The sequence below is a fragment of the Homo sapiens genome, chromosome 6 (genome assembly GCF_000001405.40).
Source record: "Homo sapiens chromosome 6, GRCh38.p14 Primary Assembly".
NCBI classification, from domain to species: domain Eukaryota; kingdom Metazoa; phylum Chordata; class Mammalia; order Primates; family Hominidae; genus Homo; species Homo sapiens.
This window is the reverse complement of record NC_000006.12, coordinates 138566572-138592357: the sequence shown is the minus strand read 5'-3', so window position 1 is coordinate 138592357 and position 25786 is coordinate 138566572. Positions and strand designations below refer to the sequence as shown.

At 43.3% G+C, this 25786-nt stretch overlaps 1 protein-coding gene across 15 annotated transcripts in view, besides 4 other annotated features; it reads left to right on the top strand.

Annotated features, from left to right (window-relative positions):
* NHSL1 (NHS like 1) overlaps positions 1–25786 on the top strand; it is a 271170-nt gene that overhangs the window by 100855 nt on the left and 144529 nt on the right. For 3 of the 15 annotated variants that reach the window (XM_047419115.1, XM_047419112.1, XM_011535967.4), the window contains exons 1-2: positions 19789–19916; positions 20297–20648. The exons of 5 other annotated variants lie outside the window; for them this stretch is intronic. In XM_047419115.1, coding sequence (XP_047275071.1) covers positions 20447–20648 — 202 coding nt within the window. In that variant the 5' untranslated portion in view covers positions 19789–19916; positions 20297–20446. Of the gene's footprint in view, positions 1–19788; positions 21641–25786 lie in introns of those variants that run through there. 7 more of the 15 variants (XM_047419116.1, XM_047419114.1, XM_017011087.1 and 4 more) reach the window with 4 other exon arrangements.
* Positions 132–632: an enhancer, noted in NCBI's record as "H3K27ac hESC enhancer chr6:138912863-138913363 (GRCh37/hg19 assembly coordinates)". NCBI's record gives its function as "activates a minimal SCP1, AML or CMV promoter by ChIP-STARR-seq in naive H9 embryonic stem cells {active_cell/tissue: H9 hESC(naive)}" and the evidence as "EXISTENCE:reporter gene assay evidence [ECO:0000049][PMID:30033119]".
* Positions 633–1133: an enhancer, noted in NCBI's record as "H3K27ac hESC enhancer chr6:138912362-138912862 (GRCh37/hg19 assembly coordinates)". NCBI's record gives its function as "activates a minimal SCP1, AML or CMV promoter by ChIP-STARR-seq in naive H9 embryonic stem cells {active_cell/tissue: H9 hESC(naive)}" and the evidence as "EXISTENCE:reporter gene assay evidence [ECO:0000049][PMID:30033119]".
* Positions 15176–15676: an enhancer, noted in NCBI's record as "H3K4me1 hESC enhancer chr6:138897819-138898319 (GRCh37/hg19 assembly coordinates)". NCBI's record gives its function as "activates a minimal SCP1, AML or CMV promoter by ChIP-STARR-seq in primed H9 embryonic stem cells {active_cell/tissue: H9 hESC(primed)}" and the evidence as "EXISTENCE:reporter gene assay evidence [ECO:0000049][PMID:30033119]".
* Positions 19455–20211: an enhancer, noted in NCBI's record as "NANOG-H3K27ac hESC enhancer chr6:138893284-138894040 (GRCh37/hg19 assembly coordinates)". NCBI's record gives its function as "activates a minimal SCP1, AML or CMV promoter by ChIP-STARR-seq in primed H9 embryonic stem cells {active_cell/tissue: H9 hESC(primed)}" and the evidence as "EXISTENCE:reporter gene assay evidence [ECO:0000049][PMID:30033119]".

The following is a 25786-nucleotide window of genomic DNA, read 5'->3' as shown; positions in this document are numbered from 1 at the left end:
CAAAGTGCTGGGATTATAGGTGTGAGCTACCGTGCCTGGCCTATATAGTTTTTACACAGTCATTTTTGCATATGAAGAATCTTGTGTTCTATTTTCATTCAGTTGTTTTCTTTCATGCAGGCTAAATTGACCTTGAGATGTGGGTGTGGGACCTATTAGAAATTACCTGTGCAATCTTGAAAAGTGATAATATGGGTATTTAATATTGTGTTTTGGGGAGCAGGAAACTGTAGTTTTCTTGAGGGTGATAATTAAATTCTCTTTAGTTTGATTATAGCTATGAGAATGCATTTATTGTCATGGAATAATTGAGCAAAAAACCCAAAAAACATTTTCAAATGGGAACTTTCAAAGTTACAGTCGTCTCCCTTTATCCATGAGGGATAGGTTCCAAAACCCTCGGTGGATGCCTGAAACCATGGATCCTATGGAACCCTAGATACATTATGTTTTTCCAATCTGATAACCGAGTAGTCTGTTCAGTAACTCAGGAGAGTGTGTGTCCACAGCATGGATCCGCTGCACAGAAGGATGATCCACGTGCACGTGCAGGGCTGGACAGAGCAGGACGGTGGGAGATTTCATCACGCGACTTAGAACCGCGCTCAATTGAAAACTTATGAATTAGCTGGGCAGGGTGGCTCACACCTGTAATCCCAGCATGTTGGGAGGCTGAGGCAGGCAGATCACTTGAGCCCAGGAGTTTAAGACCAGCCTGGGAAACACAGGGAGATAGCTCTACCAGAAAACAAACAAACAACAACAACAAAAAAATCAGCCAGGCATGGGGGCGTGTACTTGTGGTCTCAGCCACTCAAGAGGCTGAGGTGGGAGGATTGCTTGAGCTCTAGAGGTGGAGGCTGCAGTGAGCTGTGATCAACACACCACTGCACTCCAGCCTGGACAACATTGTGAGACTCCATCTCAAATAATAAAAGAAAAAAAGAGAAAACTTATGAATTGTTGATTTCTGGAATTTTTCATTTAATGTTTTAGACCACAGTTAACCTCAGGTACCTGAATTCAACTGCAGAAAGCAAAACTACAGATAAAGGGGAGGGACTACTTTAAATAATATTTGAAAACTTTCATAATTTTATCCCTTTTTTCTGCAACTTAAGCCACAGTGTAATATTTAGCACCAGTGTTTCCCCCCTTGATAACTGGTATCAATAGCCCCTTACCTATTCCTTTTGCTGATTATATCCTGCACATTCTCAAGTTCAAAAAGATAGGTCTGAGTGCCTCCTGAGTGCTCCATGCTTGCCCCATACAGTCACTAGGTGGCAGTATTGCTGTTCTTTTTCTTGAGAGGAGGCGATTCCCAGAGGATTGCCCGAGATCAATGGTCAATACACAGGCCTGCTGAAATCAGGATTAGAACCCAGCCCTGCCTGATTCAAATATTTGTGCTATTTGCCTCTCTCTGTGTTGTTCCAGCATATTTTTGAGAGGGGAAAGGAAAAGACTAAAGCTTTGCTTCTTACATTATCCAGTAAAATTTTATTGACCATCCACAAAGTTAAATTTTTTCTTAAGGAACTGATTATCACTGATGGACAGGTGAGGTGTCAGTGGTCTGACATCAGTAACCCACGGTGCAAAGGAGGGAAATCCCATATGACCAGGCTTCCTGGTACTATGCCGATTCTCCCAATGGAGAGGGTAAACAGCCGCTTCAAGGGTCAGGGATGATGCTGAAGAGTATGGAGAACTGGGGAGTCCATACAGACAGGTTGGACTCTGTTGTTGGGGATGAAATGGAAGGCAGAGGAGCTTGGGTTTCATGAGGCAGAGGCCCCGGGATAGCAGTTTGACAAGATCAGGGCTGGAGTTGGTGGTTGATTGGGCAGGATGTGTAGGCCAAAAGGAAGAACCAGAGGGAAGAGGGGCAGGGGCTTTCCTCAGGGAGTGAGGGGAAAGGGAGAAAGGAGGGGCTTGACTCTTTGTAGTTTTATGCAAAGGGAGGTTATCTTTGAGTTTGGGAGGGAAGGTGGAAGTAGGCTTCAGGGAAAACCTAAAGGTTTGGAATAACCAGAGCAACATGAAAGGTATGAGTAGGCCGGGCGCAGTGGCTTACGCCTGGAATCCCAGCACTTTTGGAGGCCAAGGCCAACGGATCACCTGAGGTCAGGAGTTTGAGACCAGCCTGGCCAACAAGGTGAAACCCTGTCTCTACTAAAAATACAAAAATTAGCCAGGCATGGTGATGGGCACCTGTAGTCACAGCTACTTGGGAGGCTGAGGCAGGAGAATCGCTTGAACCCAGGAGGCAGAGGTTGCAGTGAGCCGAGATCGCACTGCTGGACTTCAGACTGGGCAACAGAGTGAGACCCTGTCTCAAAGTAAAATAAAATAAAAGAGTAGAAATATTGTAGAAAAACACTAGAGGCTGGCAATCAGGCTCAGAGCCAGCCCGGTCAGCACATTCAGTGTCTTCATTTGTGAGGTGGCTGGGGACCCATGGAAGGATCAGTGTGGATGCCAAGGTGCAAGGGCCAAGGAAGAGGGAGTGCTGGGGATGCAGAGGCTGGGGCTGTGCCGACTCAGAGGAGCAGCCAGCTGAGGAGAGGCGATTTGCTGTCTGATGTAGAGGATCAGAGGTTGTCAGCAGAGGGAAAGGAGCGTATTATCTAGAAAAAGAGATTGAAGATGCAAAGGAGGAAACCAATTCATTCCTACTGTGAGAAGGAGGTGGAATGAACAGGACAGGGAAGGCATAGATGAGGGTTTAGGGTAAAAGGAGGCTGGGGAGGGTACAGGTAGAGAGACTGTCACAGGCGACCCTACTGAACCCTCTGTGTGCTGAGCAGCGAGGGGCAGGCGAGTCTCTGCCAAGCCTCTACATTGCTGCCTACCCTGAGCACATGGTGGAAGGTGACTCCTCACCTGTGGGCAGGTTATGGCAGTGCCGTAGTGCACAAGCCAGCCAGGCCCCCGCTTGGCTCGTGAGGCCCCCAGGTGATTCTCTGGTCCTCTCCTCACATGCTCTGGTTGTCTAGGGTGGGCCCCGGGTCTGTATTTTAATAAGCACCCCGCATCATTTAGGGATCAGGTCATTTGATATGGCCCCTGGGATGCTGGCACGCCCTCTGTGCTTTCTCCTTCACGCCTCACCCATACTGTCCCATGAACGCACAGGATACACTTCTGAGTGTTAATCTCCAGGTTGTTGAAGCTAATGGATACTTGATTGCTTTCATTTTATGAGCCACCCTCAGATGTTAGTTGGATGCAGGATCCTTTGCGGGTTCCTACTGCAATTTTGGCGGGTGTTAGGATACAAATACTCCCTCCCTGATGGTCCACCCACCAGTTCTCTTCCTCTGCCTGTTTTTCTTGAGAATGGGTTGTTCTGTTCTGCCACCTGCTGGTCAACTACAAGCACTGCATGTCGTGTTCTGAGGGTGGCTCCATATGGAAGGCGGGATTTCAAACATGATTTTCAGTGGGGTGTGTGGATGAGGTAAAAAGTCTTATTTCGAACAGGCAGGGATACTAACCATGATACTAACAAGAAGCCGTTAAAAGTCTTATTTCTAATAGAGCCATCTGCTCTAAGTCAAACCATTTACCCTTAATGTTGTAATATAAGAAAGTTAATTTCCTCTTCTCTAGAGCTTTCTTTTCACCCAAACTGTTAAAATTTAATAACAACAACACGTTTTAAGAGATCAGCTTGCTGTATTAATCTCAGAAGGAATGTTTTTTAATATGCCAAGTGTCTGTTCTACGGACAGATGATTCTGGTGATTCAAGTCAGTGGTGAAGACAGATAGGTTCAAGCTCCATGCTGTTGGAGGGGTATGACCTTGGAAAATGGCTTTACTTAGCCTCAGTTTGTTTTCAGTGTAGTTGCAGTGTCGTTATTTTATTTTTTATTTATTATTATTTTTGAGACGAAGTCTTGCTCTGTCACCCAGACTGGAGAGCAATAGCGTGATCTCGGCTCACTGCAACCTCTGCCTCCTGGGTTCAAGCGATTCTCTTGCCTCAACCTCCCCAGTTGCTGGATTACAGGCACACACCACCACACCCAGCCAATTTTTGTATTTTTAGTAGAGGCGGGGTTTCACCATGTTGCCCAGGCTGGTCTTGAACTCTTGACCTCAAGTGATCTGCCCGCCTGGGCTTCCCAAAGTGCTGAGATTACAGGCGCAAGCCACCAGGCCCAGCCAGTTATTATTGTTATTATTTTAAACTGTGTCTGTTTCTGGGTCCCAACTTTGCTGATGACCAAGCCCTGAGAATTAATTTCTAAGGGTTTTATGGAGTACCTGCTAGGTGCTGGGCCGCACAGCAGTAGACTGCTGAGATGTGATTCCTGCCGCCAAGGGGCGAGCATCACCACTAGCACATGACCTTTCTGGTTCTGTTTCCTCATCTGTACCATGAAGGTGTATGATGGGATTATCTCTAAGCCCTTCTTGGGCCCCAAGGTTCTGTAACTTAAACAAACAAACAGTATAAAGTGTTTGGCTTAACTTTCCTGGTGACCGTGGGAGGCAGTGTCTGTTGTTGTGTCCTTCCTGATGGAGCCAGGTTGTGTCTTTTTAGACTCAGAGACCCACTGACCTTGGCATGTTCCATGGGAAGCTTCCAAGGCAGTGAATTTCAGGCTTTGCATCTGATGTGCATTTAAACATTTTAAAATATTAGAATCGAAAAAATGTCAGGCTTCTTCATTTTCTTTGTCTTTTAAATATTATTCTTTGAAACACAGAATCAGCTTTTAACTTGGCAGCTCTATCTATAAACAGAATGTAAACTTTCTTAAAGATCAGTAGTTCTTAAAGGTAGGGTAGGAGGCTTACTTTACACAGAGCATGAAGGCTTTTTTTTTTTTTTTTTTTTGACAGAGTTTTGCTCTTGATGCCCTCCCGAGTAGCTGGGATTGCAGGCGCCCACCATCATACCTGGCTAATTTTTTGTATTTTTAGTAGAGATGGGGTTTCACCATGTTGGCCAGGCTGGTCTCGAACTCCTGACCTCAGGTGATCCACCCACTTCAGCTTCCCAAAGTGCTGAGATTACAGGTGTGAGCCACTGCTCCAGGCGCATGAAGCTGTTTAAAAACACAAGTGCCTCCAGGTGTGGTGGCTCACGCCTGTAATCCCAACACTTTGGGAGGCTGAGGTGGGCGGATCGCCTGAGATCAGGAGTTTGAGACCAGCCTGGCCAACATGGCAAAAACCCACCTCTACTAAAAATACAAAAATTAGCCGGGCATGGTGGCATGCGCCTGTAATCCCAGTTACTCGAGAGGTTGAGACAGGAGAATCGCTTGAACCTAGGGGGCGGAGGTTGCAGTGAGCGGAGATTGTACCGCTGCACTCCAACATGGATGACAGAGCGAGACTCCATCCCCACCCAAAAAAAACACACGCGCCCAACGAGAAAACTCAAACCCACTCTACCCATAACCTATTGAATAAGAACCTTTATGAAAGATGGCTCTGATGTTCAGCCATGGGTGAGAATGAAAGCACTGATGCAGTTTCAGTTGGGCCTGGCCCATCCTGTGTGGTTTGTTTTTGAGCAGCACCAGGCTGTCAAACACAGGGTACTCACAGTGTCCCAAGCCCTGTGCTTGGCTCTGGATCCTAAACCTGCACATGCTTACTGATCATCCCCTCTTTCACACTCTCCCCACTACCTTTATTAGGCTGGTGGCAGAACATTTGATGAGACTATTGATTTCTCTAGGTAGACTTTATTATGAAGCTTACCCTAGTTAAGTAAATTAGATTTTAATCTTTCCTCAGACCTCATTGTAATCTTATTTTGTAAAGGGTGTGTCTTCTGGAAGTGGCTGAGCATATATTGACATATTAATTCTTAAGTGGCTTTGTTACTTCTTAAGTGATGTTACTTACTGTACCTCAAGTGTAGGCTATACCCTGCTATAATTCCCTATGTGCTGAATAACTGATGTTGGACTATGTTATAAATTAAAGATTTTGGGCTGGGCACAATGGCTTATGCCTGTAATCCCAGCTCTTTGGGAGGCCAAGGTGGGCAGATCACTTGAGATCAGGAGTTCGAGACCAGACTGGTCAACATGGTGAAACCCTGTCATTACTAAAAATACAAAAATTAGCTGGATGTTGTGGTAGGTGCCTGTAATTCCAGCTATTTGGGAGGATGAGGCAGGAGAATCTCTTGAACCTGGATAGTGGAGGTTGCAGTGAGCCAAGATTGCACCACTGCACTCCAGCCTGGGCAAGAGCAAGACTCCATCTAAAAAAAAAAAAAAGGTTTTGACACTATTAACTTTTTCTTCTTATTTATTTGTTTTTGTTTTTAGAGTTGGGGTCTTGCTCTGTTGCCCAGGCTAGAGTGCAGTGGCACAATCACAGCTCCACTGCAACCTTGAACTCCTGGGCTCAAGTGATCCTCCTGTCTCTGGCTCCCTTGTAGCTGGAACTATAGGCATTCACCACCACACCCAGCTAATTTTTAAGTTTTTTTTTTTTTTGTAGAGACTGGGACTTGCCGTGTTTCCCTGGTCTTGAGCTTCTGGCCTCAAGCAGTCCTCCCACCTCAGCCTCCCAAAGCGCTGGGATTATAGGTGTGAGCTAACATTCCTTGCCTTTTCCCCCTATTTTGAAATGTAACTCACTTTTAACTAAGCATTTTCTTATCAACTGTAACCAGTGGTGTGTATTTTATGGAGCGATTCAGTGCCTGGTATTTTTCTTCTGTGTTCACTTTTTTTTTTCCTTAGAAAAATTACCAGTGAAACAAACTTTAGGATGGAACATAAGAGAGAGAGAAGTTTGACCAAATTTGGAGTTTTCAATTTTTTAAAATTTTTCAGTCGTTTAAAATAACTGACATTCCTTATGAGGTAAGGTAGCTATATTTGTGCTATTTTTGTAGTAATTTCCTTTAACTTGTCGGAATTTCACACTCTTCTTTGAACCATTCCTTGCCTCACATCCTTTAGTGAAGAAAAATATGCCTCACAAGTAGGTGAAATGACACAAGTTGGTCACTTTTAGAATCGTATTATTACAGGTGAGACTTGGGTGCTCACTTCTTTTCCTCATAATTCTGGCATGAGTGAAATATCTCCCTGATGGGAAATATTTTCCTGATGGGAATCTGACTCTCAATCCCAGCTCACCTCTCGCTCCCTGTACACACCAGGTGTAACTAATCATCTGCTTCCAGCCTAGCCAATCATCTGTGCTGGTCCACCAGCCACATCTATTTCAAGGACTGCTCCTGCTGTTGCTGAAAATAACCTATCAGTTACTGAGTGCTAATAATGTGCGTTTCTCACTTAGTTTTCATAACAACTCTAAGAAATAAAGGCCCGGGTGTCTGTAGCATGCCGGGGTTCAAGGAGAGAAATGAGAGCCAAGGGTGAGTACAGCTGTTAAGGCCCTGTGGTCCTTACCCACACAGGTGCATTTTGCGGCAGCTCTGTTGTAGTTCTTCCTGTGTTTCAGGGAAATGCCTGCGTGGCTGGGCTGGGAGGAGGACGATTAGGAAGGAGAATCTCTGGAACAAATGTCTCCGTCTGTGCTCGCCAGTCTCCATCAGTCCACTTCAGTCTGCCATCAGTGGAAAGGGCGTGGTGTTTACTTTGTAGAGGTACTTCGTCCTTCTTTGAAGTTCTTCGTGGTGGCATATCTTCATGGTAATAGAAGTTGTCTTGATTTAACACACCCAGTTTTGGTCCTGGGGAACAAGTGTTTCAACCTCAAATTTCCGAGTGTCTGAGTGTCTTAAGTGTTCTTTAGGCCTTTTGTTCTCTACATTTCTCCTTATTGAATAAGTTCATTACTTTAAGACTGTAACAAAAGTAATTGCACAGGGACCACTGAAGTAGTCATTATGAAATTGGATTCCCCTTCACTAAATAGCCCTTCTACTTATGGATTTTGATGACTGTCGGGAGAGTTGGCCGTGCACATGGCTGTAAAAAAGTGTAGAGCTGAAGAGAAAAACATACAAAGATAAAGTCATCTTAAATTTTTTAAGTTTTAAAAGAGTGAAATTTTAATACACAGTATGTGAGAGAAACACAAACAGCTATGCCCTTAATCAAATTTGCAATAGAGATCAATTTTTAGATATATCCAGCTGTGAAGTGTTCATTTAATTACACAAACAAGGTTGTAGGAAAAGGATCAGGTGAATTAGTTTATAAGAGATACCAAGTCTATGGTTCCTTTAGTTGCAGAGTCAGTGGAAGGTTTTTAATATTATTTTATTTATTTATTTACTTGAGATAAAATCTTGCTCTGTTGCCCAGGCTGGAGTGCAGTGGTGCATTCATAACTCACTGCAGCCTCAAACTCCTAGGCTCACATGATCTTCCTGCCTCAGCTTCCTGAGTAGCTGGGACTATAGGCGAGCACCACCGCATCCAGCTCATTTTATTTTTTGTAGAGACGAGGTGGGAGGTGGGGTGTGGGGAGTGTCTTACTTTGTTGTCCAGGCTGCTCTCCTACTCCTGGCCTCAAGTGATCCTCCCACCTTGGCCTCCCTCATATGGCAGATTGAGTTGTTGCAGTGGGGACTATAGAGTTGACAAAGCCTTAAAATATATGCTCTCTGGCTCTGTATCTAATCAAGCCAGATTAGATTATGTGGGGGAATATCAAAGGAGGTCCAGTAAAGAAACTTGAGTTCATCTGTCAGGAGAGAGTTGAACATGACGATGAACAGCATATGATGGACCAGTGCAGTTTAACAAACATCAGTTTAGTGCTTACTGTATGCCGGGTCCTGGGCACACAGTGACAGAAGCCTCAGTTCTTTCTCTTGGGTGGTTTACAGTCTGGAATGGCAAATGCATAATTTCAGATGTGACGGGTGAAGCGCAGCATCTCTCTGCGTGGGGTGTTACGGGAACACATAGCAGGGGTACCTCACATAGCCCAATCCCTGAGGTCAGGAATGGTGTTTTTGGAGCCTTTAACCCTTGGTAACTTGCCCAAGTAGGTGCCTGTGGTAGATGAGATTCAGAAATATTCACCCCCTGCCCCCACTTCCTTGGGCGAGTGGAGTTATTTCCCTTCCCCATGATGCTGGGCTTAGGCACATGACCTGCTTTGGCCAGTGGAAAGTGAGCAGCCCTCCTGCCTAGGAAGCTTCTGCAGCTGAGCTTGTGCTCTCTGGTGCCATTGCCATGGAAAAGACAGGCTTGGACTGGCCTGCTAGTCCTAGGAGGGGAAGGGACACCTGGAGGTCACCGCCAAGGTGACCAGCCATCCTTTGTACCCAGGACTGCCCCCATTTTAAAACTGCAGTTCCATGTCCCAGGAAATTCCTCATTTTCAGGCACACGGGGAGAGCCACCTTGGAGCAAAGCCACCTTCAGCCGAGTTCAGCCGAGATTCACTGCCCTGCAGATGACCCACTAGCTTGTGAGAAATTGTAACTGATGACTGCTTTAAGCCATTGGGTTTTGCAGGAGTTTGGGAGGCAGCAGTAGTTAAGTGATACAGGACCCAATAAACATTTGCTTATTTGAATGGAGACAGCTCCCGGCAGAAGTTTTGAAGGGTGAGTAAAAGTAAAGCCGGTGGAAAAGATGAGAAATGTTCCAGAGATGGAGGAGATAAAGAGTCAAGGGCCTGGAGGCATGGAGCGTGGTGTGCCTGGTGGTAGGGAGGACAGATTGAAGGTGCACAGCCAAAAGCAGGTCACCCAGTTCCCAGGGCATGGCAGTAGCCCAGGGGAGACACCCACAGGCAGTGGCCCTCAGCAGAGTTAAAGGGAAGGCTCCTGACTTGGGGTTGGGCGGATGCTCAGCTCAGAACCTTAGGTGAGATACTTCATCACATTCTTCCTCAGTATCTTCACCTATCAAATACATCTACACTACCAAAATGGCAGCAGTGATCTGTCTAGAACAGGGTGACTGAAAGCAAATGGGTCATTATGACTATTTGCTTACTGGTTTCAAAATTTTTCGAAGTTTTTTTGGTCCCATCTCTTTTTTTTTTGGTCCCATCTCTTTTTTTTCTGTTCTTTTAAAAATGTTTTACATTCTCATTCATGGTCATCCAGTTATTCCTCAGGGGAAAAGGGATTTTTTGGTATTGAAATGGAGTGCCCTGAAATTGTTGAAGATTATTTATAGTATTCCATTTACATATTCTCAGTGATTTAAAAACTGCTCTTTAAATTAAGGCCACTTTGGGCCAGGCACAGTGGCTCACGCCTATAATCCCAGCACTTTGGGAGGCTGAGGCGGGCGAATCACTTGAGGTCAGGAGTTCCAGACCAGCCTGGCCAATATAGTGAAAGCCCGTCTCTACTAAAAATACAAAAATTAGCCAGGTGTGGTGGTGTACGCCTGTAATCCCAACTACTTGGGAGGTGGAGGCTCGAGAATCGCTTGAACTTGGGAGGCAGAGGCTGCAGTGGCCGAGATCGCGCCACTGCACTCCAGCCTAAGCAACAGAGCAAGACTCTGACTCAAAAAAAAAAAAAAAAAAGAAAGAAAAAGTAGAACCTCAAAATCTAATTTTTTTTCCTCATTCAGAGCATTCTGATATAACAGAGTAGACTACAAGATTCAGAAAGTAAGAGCCTGAGGCCACACCAACCCAGTGTCACTGCCTCTCAACACTTGGTGTAAATGCTTGCAGATCCTGCTTTGACTTTTTTTCCTGAAATTTTTTTTTTTTTTTTTTTTTTTTTGGAGACGGAGTCTCACTCTGTCACCCAGGCCAGAGTACGGTGGCATGATCTCGGCTCACAGCAATCTCAGTCTCCTGTGTTCAAGCGATTCTCCTGCCTCTGCCTCCCAAGCAGCTGGGATTACAGGCACACACGACCATGCCCGGCTAATTTTTGTATTTTCAGTAGAGACGGGGTTTCACCATGTTGGCCAGGCTGGTCTCGAACTTCTGACCTCAGGTGATCCTCTCACCTCGGCCTCCCAAACTGCTGGGATTACAGGTGTGAGCCACCGCGCTCAGGCCTGTGAAAAATTTCTCTGAGTTGCTAGTTGTTGGCAACTTAAACTGCCTCTACTCATTCCCTGTTAGGCCTAGTCTTCCAAACTTTTGCTTTTATGAACAACACCAAAAAAGGACTGGTAAGGAATTAGAAAATTTGAAAAGTACGAGTGCAAAAAATCTCAGAATTCTTACAAAATGAACAGAAATGCTTAAAGATAGAGCAGGTTGCAAAACTCCCATTGGTACTCCACTGCATCAGTTTCCTACGGCTGCTCTAAAAACCACCACAAACTTGGTGGCTTAAAACAATGGAAATTTATTCCCTCATAGCTCTGGAGGCCAGAAATCTGAAATCAAAGTGTTGGCAGGGCTGCATTCCCTCCAGAGTTTCTAGGGAAGATCCAGTTCTTTGCTTCTTCCAGCTCTGGTGGCTGAATCACTTCGATCTCAGCCTCTGTGGTCACATTGCCTTTTCCTCTTCCAGCTGAAACCTCCCCCTGCTTCTCTCTTTGAAAGGACACATGTGATTGCGTTTATAGCCCGCCCAGGGCTATATTAGCCCGCGCTAATCCACCATAGTCTACATCTCCAGATCCTTAACTGAATCATACCTATGTATCTTTTTCCCATGTCAGGTAACATTTATAGATTTCTCTCCCTCCACCCATGCTAATACTTAAAGAATTGGTAATTGTGGGGCTATTAATTTTCTACCAAGTTATTGTGTTTGCCAAACGATTGTGTTGGCCAAATTCAGTGGTGTACTGGAGCCAGCACGTACTGACTATGGGAGCCAGTTCTTAATTTCAAGATTTTAGCAGGCTGGTTGTTAAATTGTTGGTAGCTTGAAAGTGGCCATGGTGGGAGGCTTTATATCATGGAAACTGGCAAATATGTATTATAAGTCATGGCTTCCCACGTCCCTCATCCCCGCCCCAGAGAGCCAGTTTACTAACACACCACTGGTTGGCTAAATCTCCCGACTGCTAGAAAACTCAGCTAGAGAGTACATCTCATCCCGAAGAAATTACTCAAGCCCAGAGGCTTGACTCAGGCCTACTACTTGTTTCTTGTATTTCTTTTTTTGCAGTATGTTGAAAGTAACTGTGCATATCTGTCTCCTACAACACATTTTATACTCCTCTAGGGGAGGGCCCTATCTTTTGTGCTTTAGAATCAGTCTGCCTGGCCCATCTCCTAGCAAGAGATCAATAAATATTTGAACTGATCCCTGTAACTGGGCTCTTTGCCGTTTCTGGAGGTGATGCACATACTGATGCCTAGCTGCAATAATTCTAAATATATGTATTTGCATTTCTGTCTCTTTCCTTGTTTGGAAACGTACTCGATATTTTTGCTTCCTGGATGCTCCTGATTAAAGAATTTTGTTACTTTATATTCAATTCTGTTAATAGATTATTAAAAGTAAGGTTCATCTGCTTCACTGGAAATCACTGCTTGTATCAAGCAATGTGTCACATATATTTAGCATGTAGGAGTAGCACAGTAAAAGTAGGCTGAATTGATAGAACGTTAAAAGTCAGATATATTCGGTGTAAGCACTATAGAGCCATAGTGAGTATAGTTTTAAAGATAGAGTTAAATAGAATAAATGCTTTAAAAGGTCACGTAAGGTCGATTGGAAAATTCTTTGTAATTTTTTAAACATCTACTAGGAAAAACTGATGTGAAAAAATTTTCCACTGGCATGGAGCAATTCAATTCACCTAGTAGAACCCAGCAGATCCCAGCCTGTGTGTGGATTATCAGGTAGAATGTAGGCTGCTTTTTGATTTGGCTCACTGTTGATTGCACTGGGCTGGTCTGGATCATTGGATTCTGAAGTTCTCGTGGATGGAAGCAGTGAAGATGTCCTAATAAATGAAGAAAAGCATACGCCTATCAGTTAATAAGCTTCTTTCTTCCCAAAGTGAAACAGTATGGCCATATGAATGGGGTTTTATTATTAACCCTTTAATTCAGGTTGTATACTTTTTGCCAGTTTATACATTTTACTTTTGCTTTTTGTGATTTAGTGATAAAGGAATGATTGCTATAAAGGCCTAATTATCTCCTTACGCTGAAACTTGTTAAGATCAAAATAAAAAGGTAACATGGAAATGATGGATGGTTCCATTTTTTTCACCCTGTCAACCAACATTGGCTAAATGCTGGCTGTGTATAAGGCATTATAAGGCAGGGGTCCCCAAACCCCAGGCTGTGGCCTATTAGGAACCAGGCGGCTCAGCAGGAGGGGAGCTGTGGGCAAGCGAGCATTGCTGCCTGAGCTTCACCTCCTGTCAGACAGGCAGCGGCATTAGATTCTCATAGGAGTGCGAACCCTGTTGTGAGCCATGCATGCCAGGGATCTAGGTTGCACACTGCTTATGAGAATCTCATGCTGCTGATGAGCTGAGGTGGAAGTTTCATCCTGAAACCACTCCCTACCCTGCTGTCCATGGAAAAATGGTCCTCCATGAAACTGGTCCCTGGTGCCAGAAAGGCTGGGGACCACTGCTGTAAGGGACAGGAAGATGACAGATGAGCTTCCTGGCCTCAGGGGCATTATAGTCTAGCACTGTGCTAACTTAAATACAGTCTGTGCACTAGCATCACTTGGGCGCTTCTAGGAGTTCAGAATTGCAGTCCCTTCCCCAGACCTGAATCACACTCTGCATTTCAATAAGATCTCCTATGATTTTAAGTGCTTAATACAATTTACAAAAAAAAAGAAAAACTGGTTGAGTAGATTAAAAAAAATAATAACCACAGTGATCACTGGAGAGGCTACAGGAAAGGTATCAAGAACAAAGGAAGTCATGATTTTTAAAAAAGTTATTTATTTGGAATTTTATTTTGATCTCAGAATAAGTTTGCCCTTGGTCTTCTTATATTAGAAGAATCTCAAAGTTGATGCTGTTTTAGGATTTCTTGTAATCTGAACTCCTTAGGTTGGGGACATTTTCTTGGTGAAAGTTGGTACAGATGTTGCATTTTTGGTTATGTACTGCTTACCAAGCCTCTGACGTCCATGTTCTGTGTCAGTGGCGGCTTCTTTACCAGCGACATCCTTTGTCCCCTTGCACCTTAGGGGACTGAGAGCAATAATCTGCCATATTGCTTCTGTATCAAGTGATCCCATGGGGACAGTGCAGCTAAGGCTTAGGATGTCAGATCTGTTCGCCCTTTTCAGGCATGAAGACTTTGAAAGGTGGGAGTTGGGCTGGTGGTGATACATATGCATAAATGTTTGTGTTGAGTCTTTCCCTTTGAGGGGAACAACACTATTAATTCCGTTGAAGGCACTGTGGCTTTTAAAGCCAGGGTTTAATGAGAAGTCAGTGCTTTTCCTTCTTTTAAGTTTTAAAGCAGTGGTAGTTGAGGGCAACCTGAAAACGGGGCCGGCGCTGATTAGGTAATTAGCTGCGTTTTGCCTTCCATGACTTCTTTCTAGAGTACAATCACTTGTTTCATTCCTTGGTGGGTGGAAAGGTGGATAAAGGAAGAAGGATTTAATGTACTATGGGGAATGTGTTTGCTGTGGTCCTGGGGGTAATACCGTTTGGTTGTTTTGTTTTTTTAATTATAAATATCTGGCTCAAAGTATTTACTTTTGATATTGAGATAAGCTTTCATTATTCGTGTGTACAAATTACCTCATAGAAAGATTTCCATTTAAGTGTACTCTTAAATTATTCACAGGAGATGACAGTTGGAAAACCTACTGTACGCTGTCCTAAGCTAAAGGTCCCTGTGGGTTGTCTGGGTGATTCATGTGGTAATCTGATGAGAGGCACACTTCACTGCTCCCAGCCCAGGCAGGGCCACTTCAGAACGTGACACCATTGAGAGTAGTCCTCTTCTGTGCTCTATGTGGTTCTCTTTGCACCTTTGTCTCTTTTCACATGCCTTCTGTTTATGCACCTCACTCCCAGCCAAACCAGCCAACCCCAGCGGCGCTTGCAATCCAGCCGTGTTTTCCCATTGATTTCTAACTTCAGGGTGCTGCCTCTCTTGTTCTCTTTGCTAGGTTTGACAGGGCAGGCAAGCTACACATGGAAATGAAAAGTCACAGTGCTCATTTGTGGCCTGTGAGGCCAAAAAACTGATGGCACTTGAAATTAGTTCCTATTTTTGGCTGGCATTTTACACAGATGGCGAGTAGAGCAATTACATGCCTGGTTGCGTTGAAAGGTTTGTCTAATCCTATATCCTGTCCTCTTTAACACTTTTTATTAAGTCTCCAACTTTCATTTATGATAAACTCCTTTTTCAGGATGCCAGTATATGCTGAAACATAAAATATTGTGTCTTATGGCAAGAACCTTCCAAATATATTCAGTCTATTCCTTTGACTCTTGGTAGAAGCATAGATAAATCTTTCCAAATTCATGGGCATTTGACTTAGGAATTCCCAAAGGAGATGATTCTAGAACTTCCTCTAGTAATTTATTCTGGTGCCTCCAGTTTTTATAGTTAAATTTTCCTTAATGTATTATGTAAATCATTTCTGAAATATATAGAGTAATATAGAGTAATTTCTTGTCCCTTTGTCAGCAGTGATGGGTAAGTGACCCTCAAATGTGGAGAACTAAGTATAAAAGATGCAATTGATCATAAACATGGTGTAAAGATCCACCTGGGGGTCATTATGCAGGGTCTGCTCCTCCAGCCATTTCAGCCATTTCAACCCTGGGGCTTCCGTCCCGCTGGTGAAGGAGGGGGGTGCTGGCCAAAGGCAGCTGCGACAAAGCCCTTCCACAGAGGCTCTGCCTTTTATTCCGTGAGCCCTCATTAACTCCCATTAAACATGTAATTTAAACAAGCCTGTTTATGTGATTCCTAAGGCCTGAAGCTCAGCAGTGGCAAAGTGGTAGGAAGGGAGCAGTTATTGGCACATGTGATGACAGCAGAAGTTCGAATTTGACAGCCTGACAGTGAGAGGGGAGGGGGCAGCCCAGCACGGTAAGGAAGGCAGATAAAATCTGTTCAGCACGTCTGTCTCACATGGGGACAAGGCAGTCTAATGTAGGTTTTCTTGGAGAAAAATAGCTACGTTAAGATGTTTTCATTACTTTGAAGATTATAGCTGAAGTTATTTTTTTTAAAAACCAATTACTGTAAAAGTAGGATTTGCAGGCGGGGAGCGGTGGGTCATGCTTGTAATCCCAGCACTTTGGGAGGCTGAGGCGGGCAGATCACCTGACATCAGGAGTTTGAGATCAGACTGGCCAACATGGCAAAACCCTGTCTCTGCTAAAAATACAAAAATTAGCCAGGCGTGGAGATGCGCGCCTGTAGTTCCAGCTACTTGGGAGGCTGAGGAAAGAGAATCGCTTAAACCCGGGAGGCGAAGGTTGCAATGAGACAAGATCGCGCCACTGCGCTCTGGCCTGAGTGACAGAGTGAGACTCTGCCTCAAAATAAATAAATAAATAAATAAATAAATAAATAAATAAATAAATAAATGTAGGGATTTTTCCACGGCAGGGTTATTGTGAAGGTTAGCAATAATATACAGGAAGCTTTTGGCACAAAGTAGCCTTGGCCCTGCTGCCAGGAGGGGCTGATTTGTATGGCTCTTGGGTTGATAATCCACATAACTAAAATGTGGGGTTCATCGTGGTTGCTAAACAAATATAGCTTGAGTGAATATAGTAGCTTCTTAAGAAGCCCACTTAGGATGTTCTAAGCTAATTAGAGTATATATCTAATATGCATAGTTAAGATCTAATTATTACCTACAAAGCTGATTTAAACCATTATATTCTCTTGATCAACAGGAACTCTGATCCAGTTGTAAAAGTAGTTAATTTATTTGACTTTCTTAGATAAATGAAGATTTAATAATCAAGGCCCAATATAACAGAAATATGGACTAGCCAGTAGACAGAGAATTGGTTATTATACAAACGTATCCCTAGGTCTTATGATTTGTGGGTGCACAGTTTCTGGAAATCTGGCAGACGTGGGCACTTACTTTGACGGAGAGTCATGAGTCTAGTCCCTGAATGGACTAGTTATCATTTTGGCTGCTTGGCAGGAAATGTTCCTTTAGCTTCTCCTGTTAACCCTTTCCTTGAAGTGTACAGGGTTGGGGGCCCTGGAGGAAAACACGCCAGTTACTAATGATACCAATTCACCTTTGCTGCTGTGTGTATGCACATTCCATGGAGGGGGAGTTGAGGAAAGCGCTCAACAGCACTTCTGGTAAATAAAAAATAGCACTTGGACCAGGCACGGTGGCTCATGTCTGTAATCCCAGCACTTTGGGAGGCCGAGGCAGACAGATCACCTGAGGTTGGGAGTTCGAGACCAGCCTGACCAACATGGAGAAACCCCGTCTCTACTAAAAATACAAAATTAGCTGGGTGTGGTGGCATATGCCTGTAATCCTAGCTACTCGGGAGGCTGAGGGAGGAGAATCACTTGAACCCGAGAGGCAGAGGTTGTGATGAGCTGAGATTGCGCCATTGCACTCCAGCCTGGGCAACAAGAGGGAAACTCCGTCTCCAAAAAAAGAAGAACACACAAGGTTTAAGCATATATATAATTTTTTATTTTTATTTATTTCTTTTGAGATAGGGTCTCACTCTATTGCCCAGGCTGGAGTGCAGTGGTGCAACCACAGCTCACTGAAGCCTCGATTTCCTGGGCTCAAGCGATCCTCCCACCTCAGCCTCCTGAGTAGCTGGGACCACAGGCAAGTACCACCATGCCTGACTTAACTTTTTTTCTTTTCTTTTTTTTTTTTTTTGCATTATTTGTAGACACAGAGTTTTGCCATGTTTCCCAGGCCGAGCTTGAACTCCTAAGCTCAAACGATTCATCTACCTTGGCCTCCCAAAGTGCTGGGATTACAGACGTAAGCCACCGTGCCCAGCCAGATATTTTTAAATTAAAAATGCAGCTGCAGGATGTAGAGAGTAGGGAGAAGAGAATTGTGTTCATTGTTTGGGTTCCATGGCTCCTTTGAGTGTGCACAGATGTGTGGCGGGGGTCTCGTGAACCAGTGAAATGGCAAACAGCATTTGGGGCATTAATGGATTTCTCTGGTGAGATGGTCTTTTTTTACTTTTCCTTTTATATTTTGAGACTCTCAAAAAGTGTTTTCTACTCAGAAAGAAGAGAGTGGATGTTTGATGTTAGCCACTGGTGTTATGCACAACTATTTTAACTTTGCCTTTATAATGGTAGTCATCTGGGTGCGGTGGCTCACGCCTGTAATCCCAGCACCTTGGGAGGCCAAGGCAGGCGGATCACAAAGTCAGGGGATCGAGACCATCCTGGCTAACACGGTGAAACCCTGTCTCTACTAAAAATACAAAAACAAAATTAGCCAGGCGTGGTGGCAGGCGCCTGTGGTCCCAGCTACTCGGGAGGCTGAGTCAGGAGAATGGTGTGAACCCGGGAGGCAGAGCTTGCATCATGCCACTGCACTCCAGCCTGGGCGACAGAGTGAGACTCTGTCTCAAAAAAAAGAAAATAAAATAATGGTAGTCAAAGTGGAGATATTATTGCAATTAATAACTGAAACAGGCCCAGAGCACTTGGTGATGTAGCAAGCATCCCTGGTAAGTGTGTGAATCTCTGATCCAAGTGGTGTCGGCTGCAGCCTGGTCCTCATTACTGACTTCTCTGTGTGACATTGGGTATGAACATACTTTCTCTGGGCCTGAGTTTTCCTATCTGAAAATCATGGAGTTTAAACTACGTGATCTCAAGGACTCTTTTAGCTTTTAAACTGAGGCTGCTTTGTAGCTTCTGCCTTAGTAATACCTGTTCTCTGTCATTATTTACATGGTGTAATATGAACTGCCTATCTTAGTAACACTTTGTAGAACTTCTGACTATCTTCTACAAGTGTTCCTGTCCCAGTAAGCTTGTAGAGCCTTCTTCTTAAAATCTCAGTGAATTGGAGTAGATGTATGATGCAAAATTCTGGTTTTAAAATTTTTAATCAGTTTATTTTCTATTGCAGTTTGTTAATTTTAATGTATCTGATCGATGCTGAGTAAAGCAAAGTGCTACAGACCTAGTTCTCTACTCGTTGCTTATTTGCCTTACCCCAAATAACGCTTGGGAGAAGGAGATGCCGACCCAAGTCTCTATGATGGAAAGTTGCAGGGACTTTTAACACCCCTAGGACCGTGGAATTGTAGTAAGTTAGCCTTGGGTGAAATGCTACACCCAAATGCATTGCAAGCTGTGGCTCTAGATAGTTTGCAGAGGAGGCTCAGGGCTAGAGCCTGCAGCTAAGTGCCACTAGCGTAGCTCTCTGATGACTCTTTGTGATAGGATGATCATTCAAGGTTGGAGAGGAATAACCCCCAGGGGCTCCCAGTGATACGGCAGAGGAGGATCCAGCCCCACACTCTGGCTGCTGGTGACAGGCAGGAGTGACAGTAACAGGTACAATGATGGCTGCGTTTCACCTTTGTTGGAAGCTGGGAGTGAATAGCCGGGTCCGTTATATTCTCTTTGGAAATATACTTCCTTAAATGATGGACATTCCTAAATCCATCTAGGAATGTTGGATGTATCTATCTATCTATCTATCTATCTATCTATCTATCTATCTACTGTATTAAGCCCCTTCTCAAAATTGTAGTTTCAGAAGTATGGTTTGATAATTCATAATCAAGTTCTTTTTCTTTATGCCCAGAAGTCTGTATTCTGCACAGACTTGCATACCCCTAGCTGCGCTAAAGTTCAGAAGTTTGAGCTGCCACTGAAGTATTGACTGTGGAGAGGCGGGGTTTTCTGTCTCCAATGAGGTGCCTTTGGTGTCGGGAAAGCCTATCGTCTTTCGCAGGAGTGCTTGCTCTGTAATCCAGGCAATAGCCACGCAGCCGGTTTTATTGTTTGCGGAGTCCTGCGGCTCTGAACGAGCGCTTCACAGACGGGAAGGAGAGCAAGTGGGCGGTTTATGATTCTGCCCTGTGCTGGGGCGAGTGAGCTGAGCTCTTTGATTTCTCCCAAGTAACCGTGTGGGTGAACTGTAAACTGGGTGCCTGGCTTGACCCTGACTCTTTTTCTCTAGGGTGAGGAGTTACTTCACCAGGGCAGCTGGCTTTCTGCCCTGGTGGGGAAAGATGCCCAGGAGAGGAGTAGGATTACAATTTGGGATGCTAGGGACACGCCAAAGAGTCGGGGTGCCTTGGCTTTGTGTTTTGCAAAGTCCTGACAAGTACTCCTGAAATGAACACGCTGCTTCATTTTTTAAATTATACTTTTATTTGTTTATTATTTTTTGGCCGTGGATATCGCGGATCTAGAAACGGAGTCCACAATGTGGCTAGGGTAAAACATTTTTCTTTTCTTTCTTAACCCCTCCTTTTCCCTTTCTTTTTAATTGGGTGACACAGAAGCCGTCTTTTTGGATAATGCGGTGCCTGACTGTCAGCGTTGTCTAAGAGGGAAACAGCAGGCTCGTGGAGAGGACCTGGGCCAACGCAAAAAACCCAGCGTTTTGTTTGCTGGGCTGTTCTTTGTCTCTAGTTGATTTTGAAAAGAAGATGAAAAAGGAAGGCTCTTCAGGTTCCTTCAGACTCCAGCCGAATACAGGTTCTCTCTCACGTGCTGTAAGTTGGATAAATTTCTCCTCCTTGTCCAGGCAGACAAAGAGGCTGTTTCGCAGTGATGGAGAGCTCTCGGTTTGTGGGCAGCAGGTGGAAGTGGATGACGAAAACTGGATATACAGAGCCCAGCCCAGAAAAGGTGACTCGATTTTTAAAAAATTTAAACATTTGAAAAAGTTTGTTATGTAGAATTCTTTGTTTCTATCACTCCCCCTTCATGATTTTTGCCCCCATTAGGAGTTTCTTTTGAAATGTTTGTTTTTGTATTGGAATTCGGCGTCATTTGTTTACATGTCTAAAATAAAAATGCTCTTCCTCAGCTTGAGCTTGTATCTTGTATCATTCAAAGAAAGATAAAGTAGCTGTTATTTGTTCTCGGCAGCCTCCCTCCCTCCATCAGAGCCACATGCTCATGTGACTTGTGAAAAGTTCAATGATAAACCACCCACCACCCTAGCTAGAGAGAATCTTCTGCCCTTATAGCAATCTGGGGCTAGAACGTGGAACTCTTGTGAAACTGCACTGAGAAAACTTCGGGAATCGTACATAGTCTTCTTGCATCCTTCTTCTAAGATTGAGGAATTACATGAATGCTTGAATTAAACCAGTGTTGGGCTGTGACATCAAGGAAAATGAACACGCAAGGGGCTTAACACTGATATGTTGGTCCCAAGGAGTTTCTGGATTTTTTTTTTCTTTCTCCTTTCCTTCTTTTAACCAGAGTTTTTAGATTTCTATCAAGTTTCTTTTCAGACTGACATTGGCTCTGTTCTCAGGATTAACATGTTTTGCCTCCAAGATGAAAAAAAATACCAGTCCTGCTGGGAGAGAGGGAAACAGTTCGATATTTCTTAACACACCCCTATTTTATATTTAGATTTTCTGAATTCTTCCTCTTAGTGTGTGTAGGGACTGAATTGTTAAGCTCTAAAATGGTTTCTCCATTCGGTGCAGTGGGCAAAGCCCAGTAGGGGAGTGCTATTTAAGTATCACAAAGGAATCAAGTCCAGACCTTCCGCGTGATTGTGTTTTCCATGTTTATCACATTCTTCCCCATGCCAAAAGAAACCTTGCTGGAGTCTTTCAGGGACCTGTGCTTCCCCCTGCTTTGGAAAGCAAAACTACTGAAACGTGAGAGAATCAACTAAGTTAAATATGTGCTTATGAGTATAGTAATTATGTCGCACAGGCTGAGCATTAATGCAGCCCTTCTTCAGAGTGAATGTGTGTGTAAACTATTTGTTCTTGTCTGTTAAACTATGGCACAAGAGGGACTAGCTAATAATCTTTGAAGATATCAGTTGTTTATTGTATCAACAAGGTGATCAACAATGAGCCACTGATTCTGAGCTTAAAAATGTGGGTTTTCAGTTCAAATGCTGTGTGATTGCCAGGCTTAGAAAAGGCATTTGTGCTTTCTGGCTGGAGTTGTATAGTTTAGTAAGTCCGTGAACTTTACTTTTCTAAATCAGGAATAAGCTGTGGTTTTGGTAAATGATTGGGTTGTAATGTTTGAAACAAAAATGTTTGGAGGGTGGATTCAGTAGTGCTGTGGTCGCAGGAGGGTATAGTTTTGATTCCTTTGGGCTTTGCCAAAGGTTGCTTTGTAGGACTTGTTTGACTTTAAGTCAACCACTGTCAAGTCTCTGTTAACGACTGTATACATGTGAGCATGAGGCTGTAGGATTTCTACTGTAGATGCTTCATCTGAATTAGCATTAAAGGAACAGAGACTGAATTTGTGTGTATTAGTTTTAGTTGGGAAATAAAGCAAATACTGTACATGTGACTTGTGGAAAATAAAGAAGTCATTGTAAAGGACAGGGGCAACTTGTGAAGGGAGGACTTGCTTACGTAGCGATACAAAAGATTGTGCCCTTTATCCCTTAACGGAATAGGGGATACAGTAGCTTCATGAAGATAAATGGAAGCATAATACAGGGTGTAAGTTTATGTGTTTTTTTTTTTAAATAATTGGGCATGAATAATATGATTTTTGACATACGGTGTCAGAAAGAATCCTTAAAAAGCTGCTTATACATCAAAATTCATGGCATTATATTCTGTTTTCGCATTTGACTTACAAAAGAAAATTGGCTTCCAACTTTGACATCTTGTCTCAGGGGAATGTTATAACAGTTGATCTTTATTCCACACAATTCCTTCCTTTGGAGAAATACAGAAGTGACATTTGTTTATGTGAGCAGATCAAAAGAGGAAAAGTCTTCAAGAAAAAATATGCAGAAATGAAGTTTTTTCTTAGAAGCATCAAATAGGCTGAAACTCTAGCAAGGATTATCAGTCAATGCTAAGAATGCCCAATGGCCACGTTAGGATTTGGTTGCAAATAAATATGCACTGGGAGACACATTGGTCTGATGGGAATGTGTAGCATCTTTTATATCTCTCTGCCCAAATCACACACAGCCTAATCCACCTTTCTTTCAGTTTATTCCGCAACCCCCCTAACTTACATTAACATTTTTTGATTTACACAGATTGCCAAAAACTCTCCCTCCTCCCCACTCTCTCGCTCTCTCTCTTTTTCTCTCTCGCTCTCTTTCTCTCTCTCTCTCTCACACACACACACACACACACACACATATACACACAACCATCATGCAGTGACAGCTAGATGTAGGGCAACTGTAGCTTAACAAGCTAGCCTCGCATCAGTTGTCCCCCTGTGGGATCTCTGGTTGGCGGGGGTCCGGTTCTGCAGCTCCTGGCGTTCTCCCTCCCCTCCAGCAGCTGCTGCCAGGCCACACTGCTTGCCTGTTCCCTGCCCGCTGTCTCCAGGTATGCTTTGCACCATTAGCCTGCTGAGCTCCTACCATCAGTGTGGATAGTGTGTTGTATGACACACATTCAATTTCTGAAACAGAAGGTCTTTTAATAGGGAATTTCTATGCTGGATTGTTATCAGGAACATCAAAATAAAGTTTTTAAGTGGTTACCCTTATGGGTATCTTTCAGTACAACAAACCCATAGCTTTATGATTTAATGTCAAGAAACTAGGGATAAAATTATAGTGCTTGATTTTCTTTTTCTTTTGAGAATCTTTTTATACGATTAGAAGCTACTAGTATGCATTTTCTGATTAGACTACTGTTCCTCAGCTTAAAAAGTAATTACAAGATACATATTGATAGGTCCAAAGCAGCCACCAGTAAGCATCTGTATGTTTTCTTTTGTATGTGTGTTTGACAGCACACTACAAGTTTCAAAATTCTCTTGAATCCCATCCCCGTTTATACTCAGAGAGGTAAGAATGAACTGGGTAACAGCAATGATCAATTCTTATATTCCTAGTATGATATGACCCACTACAGTAGTAGATGATGTTTTGACTTAATTAGCCATACAAATCAAGGGTGTGAATCAGTGTCTTCTTTATAGTAAAAAAGTGGAATGCAGTGGTAGATAAGACAATATGTAACTTTTCACGTGAAGTTGTGAGAGCATTTATTGGTGGAATCATTACTGAATACTATGTGCAGGATACAAAGAAAGATAGCACTCAGGCCCTGAAGTCATGGAGTTCATGCTTAAATGGAGAAGCAAATAAGACATCTAAAGCAGGGGGGTTAAAGAGAAAATGTAGGATAATTGTGAAAAAGTGCAACACGATGACCTAGATGAGAAGGTCCGCATAAAGGAACTTTATCTGGAACATTTTCATGTTTTGCATGGTCTTCTAACTGTTAGCATTTAACTGAACAAGATTTAATGAGTGCCTGCTGCTTTTCCAGCACTGTGGAAGGTCCTTGAGGAAAACTAATGACTAGTAGTATTTATTCTGTGCTTTCCCTTTCTTGCTCACTCAAATAAAACTAAAAGAGGTGGAATCATATGGGGTGTCCGTCTTCTCATTGAGCAGAGCTTGTTTTGTTGTATCCCCAGCTCTCCATTTAGCTGGGCAGAAGCGTGATTGATGATCCTGGTATTGGCAGGTCAGCAGATAGAGAAGGTAATTGACATGCAAAGCCTTGCTTTGAACAATGTTTCATCCTTTCCTTCTGGACTTTATCGTACAGACTAGTAATGTTACCAGCTTTGAATCATTTGAATGTCAGTGTCCTCCCTTCTCAGCCACTACAAAAATGGCCAGAGAATGACCATACTAGGCATCAAGGGTAATGAATAATCCATATACTAGATAATCAATTTTTGAGTGTGGGAGTTGGATCTATTTAAAGTAATTTCATCCCAGTTTTTCTCCTAATAAAATAGTTGCAGAAAGCAGGATCCTTGCACATAATTAGATTACTAATGACCAGATATTACAGTGGAGAAAAATGACATGAAAAACCAAAAGCAGCTAGGTCAAAAGTCAAGATCCTGTTTCCATGTAAATAGCTGTGATCTATTTCTGATAATAAAATCCTTAAATTGGTGGGACTTAGGAATAGCTTCCTGGGCCAGGCGTGGTGGCTCATGCTTGTTATCCCAACATTTTCGGAGGCCGAAGTGGGCATAACACTTGAGCCCAGGAGTTCAAGACCAGCCTGGGGAACACGACGAAACCTTGTCTCTACAAAAAAATAGAAAAAGTAGTCAAGTGTGGTGGTGTGTGCCTATAGTTCCAGCTACTCAGGAGGCTGAGGTGGGAGGATCGCTTGAGCCTGGGAGGTCGAGTCTGCAGTGAGCCGAGATCACACCACTGCATTCCAGCCTGGGTAACACAGCGAGACTAGGTCTCAAAACCAAACAAACATAAAGACTAGGTCTCAAACCAAACAAAAATCCTCCAAAAAAAAAAATAGCTTCCTTCTGGCATTAAGAAAACCTAAGAAATATTGACAAATATTGTCAAGTAGCATCACAAATTTAAGAGTGAAACAAGATCAGTAAGTTTTATTTATTCTGATGGTTACTACATATATCGGAAAAATAGCCAAAGGAAGTTTACCTTCGTGTCTTAACAAAAGAGATCAGTGAATGTCATGGTTTTGCTCTTACTTCCTACTGAAGTTGACATTCTGTGAAAGAGACACACAGTGAGTGCCACTTAATGTTTTCTCTGGTCCATTGAGACTGCCCTTTATTGACCTTTGATTATTATTATTTTTTCTTCTGAAGTTGGGACTCTGTTGTCTCACTGCCTTGTTCATTTTAATATGTCTTTATTTGCAAATTAAATTGTTGAAGTTCGATTTAAATGATATTTTATCTAGTATCCTTCCTTTTTTAGTTTAAAAACTTTGTGCATTTGTTTTGAGAAGAGGCATTTAAATTATGAAAAATATGGTTTTTTTTTAAATTATGAAAAGTAT